Raw genomic sequence first — 13,894 nt, forward strand, 5'->3', positions numbered from 1 at the left:
TCGGTCATCTGTGTACCAGCAAGGAGCATATAAGGGAAGGGAGAAGACAATATTTTTGAGGTTGTTTTTTCTTTTTTTTTTTTTATTTTCCATAACTATGCTCAAGAGTTTCTGCTGCAAAGAAGCTTCTTGGCAGATGGTTCAGGACAGATCAGAGCAGGCATTCACGTAATGGGGTATGCCATGTTGGCACGTTGGGTCCTCACGTCCTGATGGAGAAACAGGCACACGAAGACCCAGGCGAGGAGCCTACAAAGCAAATCCTGCAATGGTGGCAGGAGAAGTGTACTTGAAGCACCAAGATGATGCCCTTCTTTGTAAAACCTGCTAATGTTTGCAAGCTGCCACATTGGAATAATATAATTTCTAACAGTTTGTATTGGAAGAATACAAAGAAGAGAGAAAATGTTCTTTTAGTTTTACCTGCTGGTCGGGCCAGGCCAGGTGCTTACACCTGCATGCACACTGGATGCTTATAACCACCTGCAGTGGTGGCCGCCATCTTTGTTTTGGCACTGAAAGTCACTGAGGTTCAGAGATATAAACTTGTCCGAGGTCAGACTCTTAAGTCATGGAGGTAGGATTTGCACCAGATGCAGCAAATGCCTCTGCCGTGTTTCAACACTGGTGCACACCTAAACAGAGATGTTTGTTTGTTGAAGAAGTTGTGAAAAGATGAGGGTAGGGCCATGTGATGTGGAGTTCTGTAAGTGTTGCTCCTAAGTGACTTCAGTATTAAGGCAGCCCTAGAAACTTCATCCTAAGGCATGAACTGGACATGTGAGTCTCAGTATTTTCCCACATGTTTCAAAAGTGAGACTGGCCGTAGCTCAGTCTCTAAATGCCTGCTGCAAAATGCTAATGTCATAAATACTCATCTCTGTTGGGATTTTGAAACACTGTACTTTCTTTCCATTGTCTTCCCATTAATCATAGACAGGATTGAGATGAACCACTTCCCTTGCTTATCTTTTAACTCTCTCTTGTCTCCTTTGAACATGTTTAGTTCTCATGGAACTTGTTAAATTATCCCCAGAGGCAAGAAAAATAAGGGAGAATACTATTTTTTATGAGTCTCTGTTAGAAAGGTTTTGTGTAATTTTAGGTCCTTTTGTGGCCCACTGGTTTAAAGTGCTTTCTTTAAAATTTGGTTATTAAGAATGGCCACGTTCTTGAAGTTGCTTTACATTGGTATGGGTTGATTTTTTTTTTTCAATCTCTGCAGCTTTGCCAGGGATGATTTTATATAACAGTGGAGTAAAGAGGTAACATCAACATTAACAATTAAACCTCAGTGTTATATAAAACTGCCAGAATGTGTGTGAAAAGTGATGAATTTTTAAGATTTAATGTACGCATAGCTTTTAGTTTCACTAGAAAGAATGAAATTCTATTGATGCATTTATGCATTTCTTATAACATGTATTTTCCAGTTTTCCAACACTTGGGGAACATTTCTTCTGGGAAAAAAAAATCCCTTACATGCTGCATACAACTGGCGTCTCAAAGCATTTGCAGTTATGAGAAGTTTCAGTCCCTTCACAGTTCTCTTATCATGCTAGCATCATGTTTTATTAGGATAATAATTTTCGATGTAATATCTATTTTATCTTGCCAAGCAAATTAAGCTTTAAACCAATGTGTGTGTTTTTCTAAATGGCCTATCCAAAAATTGATTGCATTTCTAAAGGAAATATCTGTTAAGAACCATCTCAGTTTAAAATATTTTTATAATGTCAGCGTACAAGGGTAATGACCCATTTTGTAAAAATCTTTTTATACAAACAGCCTAATCCTTAATTTTTGTGCTTCTTTTTTTTTTTTTTTTAATTCTTCTGTTGTAGATTCCTAACTGTTGCCAGTTGAAAAAATATTTAACTTGGAGGTAAAACACTGACCAACCACTTGTGTCTCAAAATTCATTGAAGTTTTGATCTCTTTGGAGTCAAGTTGGAACTGCTGTGAGGCCCAAACACCTATCTTCTCATTCATCTCGGTTGTTGCCTCTCCAGGAGAGCCTGATCTTTCCATAATGAGAATAGTGAATATGCTTCACTGATGTTTAAAGAGTCACATCCATGTATATCTGTTTCTCAAACATGCTTCTGAATTTTCATCCACTGTTTGTACAGCAGGACATACTGGGCATTGTAGAGTTTTCAGTTGGTTGTTCAGGCAACTTGACATTTAGCCGCTTCTCCGTGCTGCCCACCACAATCCTCCCCTGGGCAGCCTGCTCAAGGACTTTAACATTGTGTCTCCTTTCAGACTGTTCAGGTCGTGGAGCGGAGTGTCTGACTTGGGCATTAATGAGATGAAGACGAGACTGTAGGTCAGATGATGACTGTTTTTGTGATGTTCGTGTTGACCTTCATTTGCTAATTTCTGACCTCAAAGTGGGTATTTCATAATGTGTGCTCCATGATCACGAGGCGCCACCAGTCTGTGCTCTTTAGACTCCTTTAGGCTGGCGTTGGTGCCAGTGGGCACACAGTCTCACTTCTCTGCCCCTCCCGTTGCACACACATTTCGGAGTGCCTCTATGTGCCTTGTGTACCAGCATTACTGTGCATGTGGCTTCACCGTACTTATCTTGCACACTAGGTTGTCAAGTCCCATTGCTGTTCTCTCTCTCTACTCTCATGGCATTTTAGAGGCAGAAAGTAAATTCCCAGTCAAGGTTGCCCATGCTATTACTTATGATTATTGCTACCAAATGGGTGAGGACAAGGTAAACACCCAGGGAATGCTGTGAATCTGATGTATTTCCTGTAGAGGAGAGCAGAGTTGACTAACCATCCCACCTAACTCTGCCATCTCTAAACTTGACAACTAATCTTGACTTTGAGATTGAAGACAATTGAATGTGTTTAAACTTCATAAAGACAGACTAACTTTTGAAACCTTTTGGAATAAAACAGCACAGTCACAAGTATCCATCATTTATGCTATTCATGTGACATATTATCATGGGAACACTTACTATTCACTGATTTTACAAATACCTATGAAAGCCAATTATCTACCAGGCAGAGTTCTTCTAGGCTTTGAAGATACACAGTAAACACAATGGACAAAATACTGTTTGTATGAAGTTTCTTTTATATTGTTATAACCAAAGTTAGAATTTTAAACCCAGAGAAACTTAAAGAAGTAATAGTTTAGATCTTGGTTAAATCATTGTGTTTCTCATTTTCTGGAATAGTCACCCAGCAAACCTTTTAATTTTTTTTTTCTTTTTCTTTTTCTTTTTTTTTTTTTTTGAGACGGAGTCTTGCTCTGTCGCCCAGGTTGCAGTGCCGTGGCACGATCTCGGCTCACTGCAAGCTCCGCCTCCCGGGTTCACGCCATTCTTCTGCCTCAGCCTCCCGAGTAGCTGGGACTACAGGCGCCCACCACCACACCTGGCTAATTTTTTTGTACTTCTAGTAGAGACAGGGTTTCACTTTGTTTGCCAGGATGGTCTCAATCTCCTGACCTCGTGATCTGCCCACCTCGGCCTCCCAAAGTGCTGGGATTACAGGCGTGAGCCACCGTGCCCGGCCACAAATCTTTTAATTTTTTCTTTCAATTACCATGAACTCACTTACCTATAATTGAGTTCTTCACTTGAGAGATAGAAATGTTCATACAATGAGTAAGCCTCATTCCCTTCCCAGTCTTTAAGGTGTATTTTAAGCACATAGCGTTGCTGATTAGTCAGTTGCGAAACAAACTCATTTCCCAGCCAATATTCTCCTGAAGGGTTACCAAATCCCTGTAATGCAAGTTGTTAAATTCAATTATTTCATGTAATTTTTTCTTTGTATATTTGAAGTGGATAGTCCGTCAACTTAACATAGAATAACTATCAAATAGCAGAAATTCCTTCTGGTGCTGTGACAATTTAGGGTCCTTCCCAAAGGAAAATGGATTTTAAATAGGTCAGTTATTAGACACTAAGCTGCTGCTGGAAGAAAACTTGTATTAGGATAATGAGAACTACTTGGGGAGCCACCAGCAGAAGCCTTGGCATAAACAGCTCAGTTCATGGGAATGTGAAGCACCATTAAACAGTCGGCTTACCAAAAAAATGCTGAGTCCACCTTTAAAAATAAGCTAAGTAGTGGCAGCCTTGTTTATTTGAGAGTCTTACTCTGTTGCCCAGGCTGGAGTGCAGTGGTGTGATCTTGGCTGACTGCACCCTCTGCCTCCCAGGTTCAAGCGATTCTCCTGCCTCAGCCTCCTGAGTAGCTGGGATTACAGGTGTGCACCACCACACCTGGCTAATATTTGTATTTTTAGTAGATACAGAGTTTTGTTATGTTGGCCAACTGGTCTCAAACTCCTGACCTCAGGTAATCCATCTGCCTCGGCCTCCCAAAGTGCTGGGATTACAGGCGTGAGCCAGCACGTCTGGCTGCAGCTTTTGTTTTGATACAGTTTACCTTATATTGGCCATTCTTTAAAGGGGAGACTGAAGCACCAATTTTAAAAACCATGTCAAAAGTCATTGGTTAGTTTGGGATTGGTGGTTAAGGTTCCGCAGATCTTGAAAGCTATTTTTCACAAGGGAAATTCTTTTCTGATGCCTTAAAGAATGTCCTTACCACTTTATATTCTTTCCAAGTCCTCTGAAAATCAACGCTGCCATCCTCACGTCGCTGAATAATTGTCCACCCGCCTCCTCCAGCTTCCATGTCACAGTAGGCCTGCAAACAGGAATGCAGGGTATAAGTGACAGAGCCCCCCCACTCCCCCCTTACGTAGCAGAAGCAGGAGGAATGTAGACCCTGAGTGCAGGACTCAGCCGAGAGGGTTCTCTGGGATATAAGGCACGGAGTAGACCATCGGGGTTGTCTAAGAAACAGATGGTTTCAAATAAATTGAAAGTGATGGATTAAAATGATGGTGAAACATAAACAGTAATATAATATAAAGTGTTGATGAGAATATGACTCACTTGTCATCATCTGTTCCAGGCTAAAGACCCCACCCTGATGGCTGGTCCAGAGATTGCTGTTTTTTTAGAGATTCATTATGAATGGCACATTTTGGCAGATTGGCCCCGAACCCCACATCTCCATCCTGTAGAAAACCATTGACTTGTGTTCACAGCCTTGAAACCTTTCACTAAATGCCAGCCCCTGCCCCTCCACAGAGAGCTATGTGAAGGGGATACTCTTTGATCATAGGGTTTGGAGGACTCCTGTTACATTCTCGTACTGTGGGGCTGTTTGGCTTCCTTTATGTGCAATACTAATCAGATTTTTTGGTTCACATCTGAGCACAAGGGCCTTGAGGCTCCAGTGTCCTGGTGCAAGGTGTGTGACCTGGGCTTGGCTTAGCACCTTGGCCTCAAGGGCATGACTTCACGCTTCTCTGTACATAGCTCACTGCCCACAGTTTTTCTCTAAGCAACTCTTTTTATTTCTGCTCTTAAACTGGCTCTGTGGGTTTAAACTTTGTCCAGAACACAGAATTCTTTCTTAAGCTAAGCGCATGCATGCTCAATTTCAACTCAGCTGGAGTTTTATTATGAAATTAAAAACCCCTGAAAATAAGATTACATAAATAGTTTTAAATAATAAAGATTACAGTAGAACGAAACATGTTTTCCAGAAAGTAAGATAAATTTTCTGCCACATACAAGGTAGGAAATATTGAAGTTAAGGTTCAAAACCAATTGTAAATATTCTTCTTGTGTTGTGTCCCATGGTCTTTTTGAGAATAATGGAGGCGATTTGGCAGGGTAAGCTTCAACGCACACTGTTCTCTGTTTACGAGTTAGAATCCTAAAGAGGAGAGCGAAAAGAGAACCAAGAGAGTGCTATTCCTGTTCTTTCATTTCCTACATGAGGAAAGAGGGGTGCAGAGGAAGTGCAGTGGCTGCCTGATGCCTCATTGCCAGTGCAACCAGAGAACTGTCCCTGGAACAGCCTGGTCTGCAGGGGACTTCTCCCCAGCATGGTTCTGGTCTCTCTCCAGGAAGGTCACCCAGCTCGTATTGCCTTCCCCAGTGGCACTCATGTTTGGAAACATAGGTGCCATTAATGAAAGTTACATTTATTAAGAAGAAAATTATTTCCTCATTTTAAATTAATCTGATGTAGAAAATCAGTCTGCACAAGCTAACCCCTTGTTACCGCTCTGTATTGCTATGATTTTTATTATCATTGCTACACACCACTCTCATCCAAGTACTCTGCCAGATACTTTGTGTATATTATCTATAATCTCACAGCAACTCTGCTGTAGTATCATAATTCTGCATTTTTGAAAGGAGAAAAGATTTAGCAAAGTTCGATTTTGATCAGTTACTCACCTTCTAAGTGATATATAGGATTTGAATAAGGTCTCTTTGATTCCTGTTATGTTTTTTTTCCACTGACATCATGCTGCCAAAAACAGAGAAACCTGACCCTTTGGTAAATAGGCCAAAAGTCCCTCAACACAGTTCCAAGTTTAAATCAGTTCATGAATAATACTGCCTCTTATTTGCCTGCAGTCAACAAAATGGTCAGTGCTGCTCACTTCTATCAATATTTCTTTTTAAAAATCTATTTCATAAACCAGCTGAATAAGCTACTTTGGTTTGAGGATTCATGTACATATATTGAAGTTAATTCTGTATCCTAAATGGTATGCTCTTGGGTTGAAAGCATTGACGTGGCTCTTGGTGAGCCTATCCTTGTTCCAAGAATGTTTGATTCTTCAGTGTCAAAATTACTGCTATGAAGTTACCAGTACTTAAATACATGTTCTATCTTGTTCAGAGAACAAGTTTATCTTGTTATGGAAGTCAGAGGCAAAACTCTTAAATGTCTGAGAGTCACTGCCAGCACATAAATGATTTGAGCCATATGAGTATTCGCTTTGATTCCATTAGTGATGATGATAAGGTTATTAGAACATTTTCTTAGTACTTCATCCAGGTTTTTAGAAAAAAGAACAGAGGATTTGTAAAAACTGGAGTATTATGGTTAATTGGACTATAAAACTTGCAGAGAAAGATAGTGTTCAAATAGAGTTATCTACCCAGCCAGAAGATACTGAGTAAAAGTGCTGAAATTGATTATATCAGGATCAGCAAAGCAGAAGTCCTCAGATACTTCCCAAGACCTTACCACTCCAATTACAACAAACCTAAGGGCAGTTAATATCTTTAATCTGTCCACTGGTGCATGGTGCAGGAACCTGATATCTTTCTATAAAGCTTGATGTTTTTCAGCAAATAATACTTGACTTGCTTCAACTCTGAGGCAATGATTAAGTGACGGGTTAAATAGCAAACCATAGAGACAACCGTTAGGAGTCAGGTGTCCTGTGAAATTTAGGGAAGGAAATGACCATACATGCTTTTGATAAATGCCATCTTGCAGTCTCTCTCTCGTAGAAGAACCAAATGAATTTTTCAAAACTAAAGCTGCAGTATTTTGGCCTTTCAGGAAAAGATGTGCTCAAAGACCAATTGAACATTCTTTTCTTGAATTAGATAAATGAGTGCAGAATCGGGTCTCCTGCCAGGCAGAGAAGTTGTCTGGTAGTCTTTGAAGGCAGTGAAAATGGTGACCACTACCATTTACTGTCCCAAGTTCTACCCCAGGGGCTGTCCCTGTGTTGTCACAACCCCCAAGGCTGAGGGTATCATTGTTCTGTTACAGATGGGGAAACTGAGCTCTCAGAAAGGTTAAATGACTCGCCCAGAGCCACAAATGGCAGAGCTAGAATTTACATCCAAGTCTGTCTATCTCTCCCTGGATCAGATTGTGACTTACAGAGTCTTAAGTCTGGAAGGGAATTTAGAAGTAACAATTGACACCACTTATTTTTCAAGATGAGAAAATTGAGGTTTGTGAAAGCTTATTGTTCCCTGCTGTGTAAATGAGTTTCTTTTACTGCAAATGTTTAAAGGGAATATAAATCCTAATGTTTCCAACCATGACCTGAGGCTCATATAATCCCAGAGTACTATATATTTTCATCTTTCTGCAGAATATTTCAGTTATTCTGGGGGCCATGGGGTGGGACAGTGCACTGGGGTGGGAAGCTTGCACTTAGACTGAGAAACATAGATGAAACAATGTGATGGGGCTGCATGGTTAGCGGCTGTCCCTCTGCATCGGTGTCCATGGCATCCCCATTTCACATGCATCCTCTGTCCCCCCTCTTGACACTCCTGTCCCCAGGCCAAGAACACGCCAACATCTGGTGACAGACAATGGCATGCACAGAATTGTCATGAAAACCAGATAGCAAAAGAGATTGAAAGGCTTAGCCTAGAGTCTGTTCGTTGCCTTTTCATCTGCAGCAGACTGTGTTGTTTGTGGGTTTGTTCCCTTCCTTCCCTGTTGTATGGCTTCTAGGGCGTTAGGGACATTAACTAATTTTCAGGGTTGATTTAACACAGCATTAATGAATTAGAAAGGTTTCTTTGGAAAGCATTATGTTGAATAGCACAATATTTATCTTTTCCGTTCATAATCAAGATACATGTTACTGTTTCAAGTTCCAGGTCTTTAAAACCCTAATGCTTGTATTTTTAAAGTGTTTTTCTTTGATACTGTTTTAAATACTTAGGATAATACTCAATTTAAAGAGATAATACTTCCAAGAGCCTCGAAAATTTCCACTTTGGTACAGTATCCACTGTATTCTCTGTAGTTATTTGTGTTGGTTCAATATGTAGCTGCTTTTACATTTATATGCAAACATATTTATAGACATTTAATATATACAGTTATCCAGTAGTTACATAACACTTCACCACACTGATTCTCCTGTAATATCATTCTTCCCTATCAAATGTTTAAGAGAAGCCACATTGAAATATTCTCCGGAAGGGTTTTTTTTTTTCCTTATCTAAAGTTCAGTGTCTCCCAAAGCACCTTCAGGAGTCAGGCTCTCTGAGTGAGGCTGCAGAACTAGGAATGACTGAGGTAAGCTGTGTTGTGGCTTTGCCTGCTGTGAGTACTGACTGTCCACTCACGTTACATGCAGTAATTGGACATATGCCTTGAAGTGAACTCCGCTGCTGGAGAAGAAAATGAACACTGTCTTTATGGTGTGTTTCGAGTCTTCCAGACTGCGTTAGATGAGGTTAGAATCGCCTTCCCCAGCGGTTCTCATGGTGTGGACCTCAGAATCCTGCGTGTCCCTCAGACCATGTCACCAAGTCCACAGGTTGAAACTGTTTTCACGATGCTAAGACACCACCGGTCTGTGGCACTGTGTTAGCGTTTGCTCAGATAGAGCAAAAACCATGGTGGGTAAAACTGCCACCATCCCCGTGTGAGGCAGGGCAGCGGTAGCTAACTGTACAAGTCACTATGCAGTCACACACAAAAAAGAAAGGAACAATAATATCACTGAAAAATGACTTTGACACAGCAGTAGAAATTATTAATTTCATGACACCTCTATGGCTGATGCACTATGGTTGTTCAACCTTCAGTTTTTGGAAGATACTTTCTTTAAGGAAATGAGTCTGACACCTCAGGAAAAACAACTGACAGTATGCATTATTCAAGCAAAATGCAAGGAGAATGTATTTCTTGCCGAAGATAAGATAGACATTTCTACATCATTCATATGCAGCTTTTGTATTTTCTGCACAGCAGCGGCACTTAGAGCCCTTGGCAAGCACTCTAGGCGAGGTAGCTGCCCAGTAACTATGGCTTTGTACTGTGTGAGGCTGGGGAAGATCTTTGGGGAGAGACTTCTGCTCTCTGGTTCCTCACTCACTAAAGTGGCCTGCCTAGAGCCAGGGAGTTAGTAAGGGGAGACGAATACCTCACCTTGATCTCTTCTGTAGAATTAGGGAATGTTAACGTGTAGATGCCATTCGTGGTGTGTCCTGATTTGAATACTTCAGCACAGTCTCTGAAGCTGATTTGTTCTTCTTTAGCAACAGTGGGGTCCTTAGCTGCTTTTAAAAAATAGTAAGGCATTTAAACGGAGTTCATGAAAAGACAAAGACTTGTTATTTCAAGAGCCAATCATTTGGTGAGTTTTATTACTTTGGAATTCTTAAGTAAGCAAAAGGCTGTACCACTTTTTTAACCTTTCTAGAAAGTTTCCTTTCAGCCTGTTTTCTTCTTAATTCTCAAAAGATTAATACTTACTTTTTGGTCATTAATTCCATGTAATTAAAATACTTCAAATAATCCAAACTTCCTTTGCTGATGATCAATTACATGTAATGAAAGTACTTCACAATCACATAAATTAAATTATTACTTTTGAAGATCTTTCATCTTGAGCAGAATAGGGTAAACTTAGTATGGAAGAATTTAAAAAGAATGTCCCTAAACACTGTTATCTGTATCATGACCCCATTGCCTGCCCCTTCAGGCCATTATCCCACTGAGGACATAGTGGGGTGCAGTGACACATCTCAGCTTACCGCATCCTCCTCCTCCCAGGTTTAAGTGATTCTCCTACCTCAGCCTCCCAAGCAGCTGGGATTTCAGGTGCCCACCACCAAGCCCAGCTAATTTTTGTATTTTTAGTAGAGACAGGATTTCACCATGTTGGCCACGCTGGTCTCCAACTCCTGTCCTCAAGTGATCTGCCTGCCTCAGCCTCCCAAAGTGCTGCAATTAGAGGCGTGATCCACCACACCTGGCCCTTCCCTCCAATATATAAGAGACGCTGCAAAGTGAAACAATAATAAGGAAGGCAAAATGTGCTTAAGAACCTGGCAAGATAAGGGAACTAGCATCTCTTAAGTGCCATTGTATTATCTCATTTAATCTTAATGGCCATCCCATGGGTCTGATATTATTTTTCCCATGTAAAACCTAAATAAATGAATATCGGCTGTGGTTTAGTAATTTGCCCAGTCTCATCCTTCTAATTAATGATGGAACTAACTAAAAGTAGGCTCTTTACTGCCATGAATCAAAAGTATGCTTGGGGTGTTTGCTTCATAATAATTAGTATAACATATATTTCCCCTTCTCTTCTTCCTTCATTTTAATTGGTAGATATTTCATATGAAATATATGAGAAATAGCGCCTTTTCTGAAAGGTGAGAATTTTTTAGTCTTTTGAGTGTTTTACTGACTAAAGGTTATTAACGCTGAAGAAAGCATGATATGTAAACTTACAGTTTGATGTGGACATCATAGTCAGTAAGTTATTAACTGTCTCCATGAGATCATGTTGCTGCTTCTGAAGAACTGAATTATTCACCGTGGCAGTCACTATTTTTTTTTCTAGTTCTTCAATGATGGAATTTTGCTTGGATACTAACACCTGTAGCTGATCTTTCTCTTCTTTTATTGACTGTAGTTGGATGATGTGCTTGTCTTCCATAGCTAGCACCTTCTTTTCTAGGAAACTTGTAAGGAAAAGAATTGTTAGTTAGTGAAGGCTATTCTAATGAAATATTTTATATTTATTGAATTTCTACTTCTCCAAGGTACTCTGTTAAGATATTGTAGTGGTTATAAAGTAATATGATGTTACCAGAGCCCTAAGGAATCTCTGAAACTTGCTGAGAAGATTAGATATATAAATGTGTGTATATATGTAAACGTATAAGCATATATGTATGTACATGCAGACTTATGCATACACACAAGAAAAGGTACCCCATCTGGTCCAGGATAGGTGGGATATGGGTGTTTTTTGTATTAGATGCTGCAGCGCTCAGAAGAAAGGTGCTGCTCTTTCAAGCTTAGTGCTCATGAAGTGCTTTTTTGAGAAGGGAGAGTTTCAACTGGGCTGGACCCTTGGGTAGGATATTAGCTTTCTCCTAAACTATTTATATTTTAATATTAATCCTAATGATAATAATAGCACTTAATGCTATGTGAGAAATACTCCTTCATGGGGAGGTGAATACTTCTCCCAGACTCAAGTACTGGCTTACCAGCCCTGCGACTTGGAACAGTTTACTTAGTCACCCTATGCGTTAATGTCCTCACCTGTTAATTAGGATACTATCACCTAGGTCATGGGGTTGGTGTGAGGAACAAATGGGTTTTAAAATGTAAATGCTGGCCGGGCGCAGTGGCTCACGCTTGTAATCCCAGCACTTTGGGAGGCCGAGGCGGGCGGATCACGAGGTCGGGAGATTGAGAGTATCCTGGCTAACACGGTGAAACCCCGTCTCCACTAAAAATACAAAAAATTCTCCAGGCGTGGTGGCGGGCGCCTGTAGTCACAGCTACTCTGGAGGCTGAGGCAGGAGAATGGCGTGATCTCGGGAGGCGGAGCTTGCAGTGAGCTGAGATCATGCCACTGCACTCCAGCCTGGGCGACAGAGCGAGACTCCGTCTCAAAAAAAAAGAAAAAAAAATGTAAACGCTTAGACTAGCGCCTGTCATACATTAACAGTCAATGAATGTTTGTTAACGTTAATATAGACATTATTATTCCCATTTCCAATGAGGAAATTGAAACTTAGGGACATTGAGGGCCAGGCTCAGTGGCTCACACCTATAATCCCAGCACTTTGGAAGGCTGAGGCAGGTGTATCACTAGAGTCCAGGAGCTTGAGAGCAGGCTGGCCAACATGGTGAAACCCTCTCTCTACTAAAAATACAAAAATTAGCCAAGCGTGGGGGTACATGAATGTAATCCCAGCTACTCAGGAGGCTGAGGCAGGAGAACTGCTTGAACCCGGGAGGTGGAGGTTGCAGTGAGCTGAGATTATGCCATTGCACTCCAGCCTGGGCAACAGAGCGAGACATCGTCTCAAAAAAAAAAAAGAAAAGAAAAGAAATGTAGGAAGAATGAATCACATACCTAAAGTCACACACAGCAGGTGGCAGGGGCAGAATACAATCCCAGAACTTTCTGACTCTGAAATCTGCTTCTCTCCTTTTAATGTGGCCCCATTCCTTCTCTAAAAAATCTAACCAGCGCTATGGCATGTACTTAATACATAACAGTTAATATGTGAGCCAAGCCCTTGAAAAGTTTTTTTTTTTCTTTTTTTGAGATGGAGTCTCGCTCTGTCACCCAGACTGGAGTGCAAGGGTGCCATCTTGGCTCACTGCAACCTTCACCTCCCAGGTTCAAGCTATTCTCCTGCCTCAGTCTCCCGAGTAGCTGGGACTACAGGCGCATGTCACCATGTCAGGCTAACTTTTTGTATTTTTAGTAGAGATGGGCTTTTACCGTGTTAGCCAGGGTGGTCTCGATCTCCTGACCTCGTGATCCGCCCGCCCCTGCCTCCCAAAGTGCTGGGATTACAGGCATGAGCCACCACGCCTGGCAGAAAAGCTTTTTAAAAATTATTTAGAGAGCTGGTAAAATTATGCCATGTAAGTCCTAAGATACTTTATTAATGGTTATATAGTTTGCCTTCCTAATTTCAACTTATAAACATACATTGCTATAAATATGTTCAATGAAGAGCATACCACTTTTAAACTAAAAATAGTTCCTGTCCATTAAGCCAGAGGAAACAAATCCAAGAGAGTAGAGACTATGTATTTGAGAATGTTAACTGTTTCCCAGGAACAAACTCAAAGACATGCACAGTCAAGGTATTTGGCAGGGTTTTTTGTTTTTTGTTTTGAGATGGAGTCTCGGAGTCTCGCGCTGTGGCCTGGGCTGTTGTGCAGTGGCGCGATCTCAGCTCGCTGCAACCTCCGCCTCCCGGATTCAAGCAGTTCTCCTGCCTCAGCCTCCTGAGTAGTTAGGATTACAGGTGTGCCACCACGCCCAGCTAATTTTTTGTATTTTTAGTAGAGACGTGGTTTCATTATGTTGTCCAGGCTGGTCTCGAACTCCTGACTTCCTGATTCGTCCACCTCGGCCTTCCAAAGTGCTGGAATTACAGGCATGAGCCACCGTGCCTGGCTGGCATTTTTTTTTTTTTTTAATAAGATACAAGAGGAAAATTGGATAGCCTGACACTACATTATTCAGCACCTAAAGAGGCTTTCTGTGATAATTG

The 13,894-nt window shown here is 41.1% G+C and overlaps 2 protein-coding genes across 20 annotated transcripts in view; one reads left to right on the forward strand and one right to left on the reverse strand.

Moving 5' to 3' along the window:
- Nucleotides 1-13,894, forward strand: part of MCPH1 (microcephalin 1) — a 241,882-nt gene that overhangs the window by 103,461 nt on the left and 124,527 nt on the right. Inside the window, exon 13 of one of the 14 annotated variants that reach the window (XM_011534758.4) lies at nt 1,845-3,079. The exons of the other annotated variants lie outside the window; for them this stretch is intronic. Within the exon in view, the coding sequence (XP_011533060.1) occupies nt 1,845-1,889 (45 nt within the window). The 3' untranslated portion in view covers nt 1,890-3,079. Of the gene's footprint in view, nt 1-1,844; nt 3,080-13,894 lie in introns of those variants that run through there. 14 annotated transcript variants of the gene reach the window in all.
- Nucleotides 1-13,894, reverse strand: part of ANGPT2 (angiopoietin 2) — a 63,614-nt gene that overhangs the window by 10,456 nt on the left and 39,264 nt on the right. For 3 of the 6 annotated variants that reach the window (NM_001386335.1, NM_001386337.1, NM_001118887.2), the window contains 4 exons: nt 11,091-11,323; nt 9,777-9,904; nt 4,590-4,691; nt 3,591-3,757 (listed from right to left, as the gene is read on the reverse strand). In NM_001386335.1, the coding sequence (NP_001373264.1) occupies nt 3,591-3,757; nt 4,590-4,691; nt 9,777-9,904; nt 11,091-11,323 (630 nt within the window). Of the gene's footprint in view, nt 1-3,590; nt 3,758-4,589; nt 4,692-9,776; nt 9,908-11,090; nt 11,324-13,894 lie in introns of all 6 variants that reach the window. The other 3 variants (NM_001118888.2, NM_001386336.1, NM_001147.3) reach the window with 1 other exon arrangement.

This window comes from Homo sapiens, chromosome 8 (genome assembly GCF_000001405.40).
Source record: "Homo sapiens chromosome 8, GRCh38.p14 Primary Assembly".
Lineage (NCBI taxonomy): Eukaryota > Metazoa > Chordata > Mammalia > Primates > Hominidae > Homo > Homo sapiens.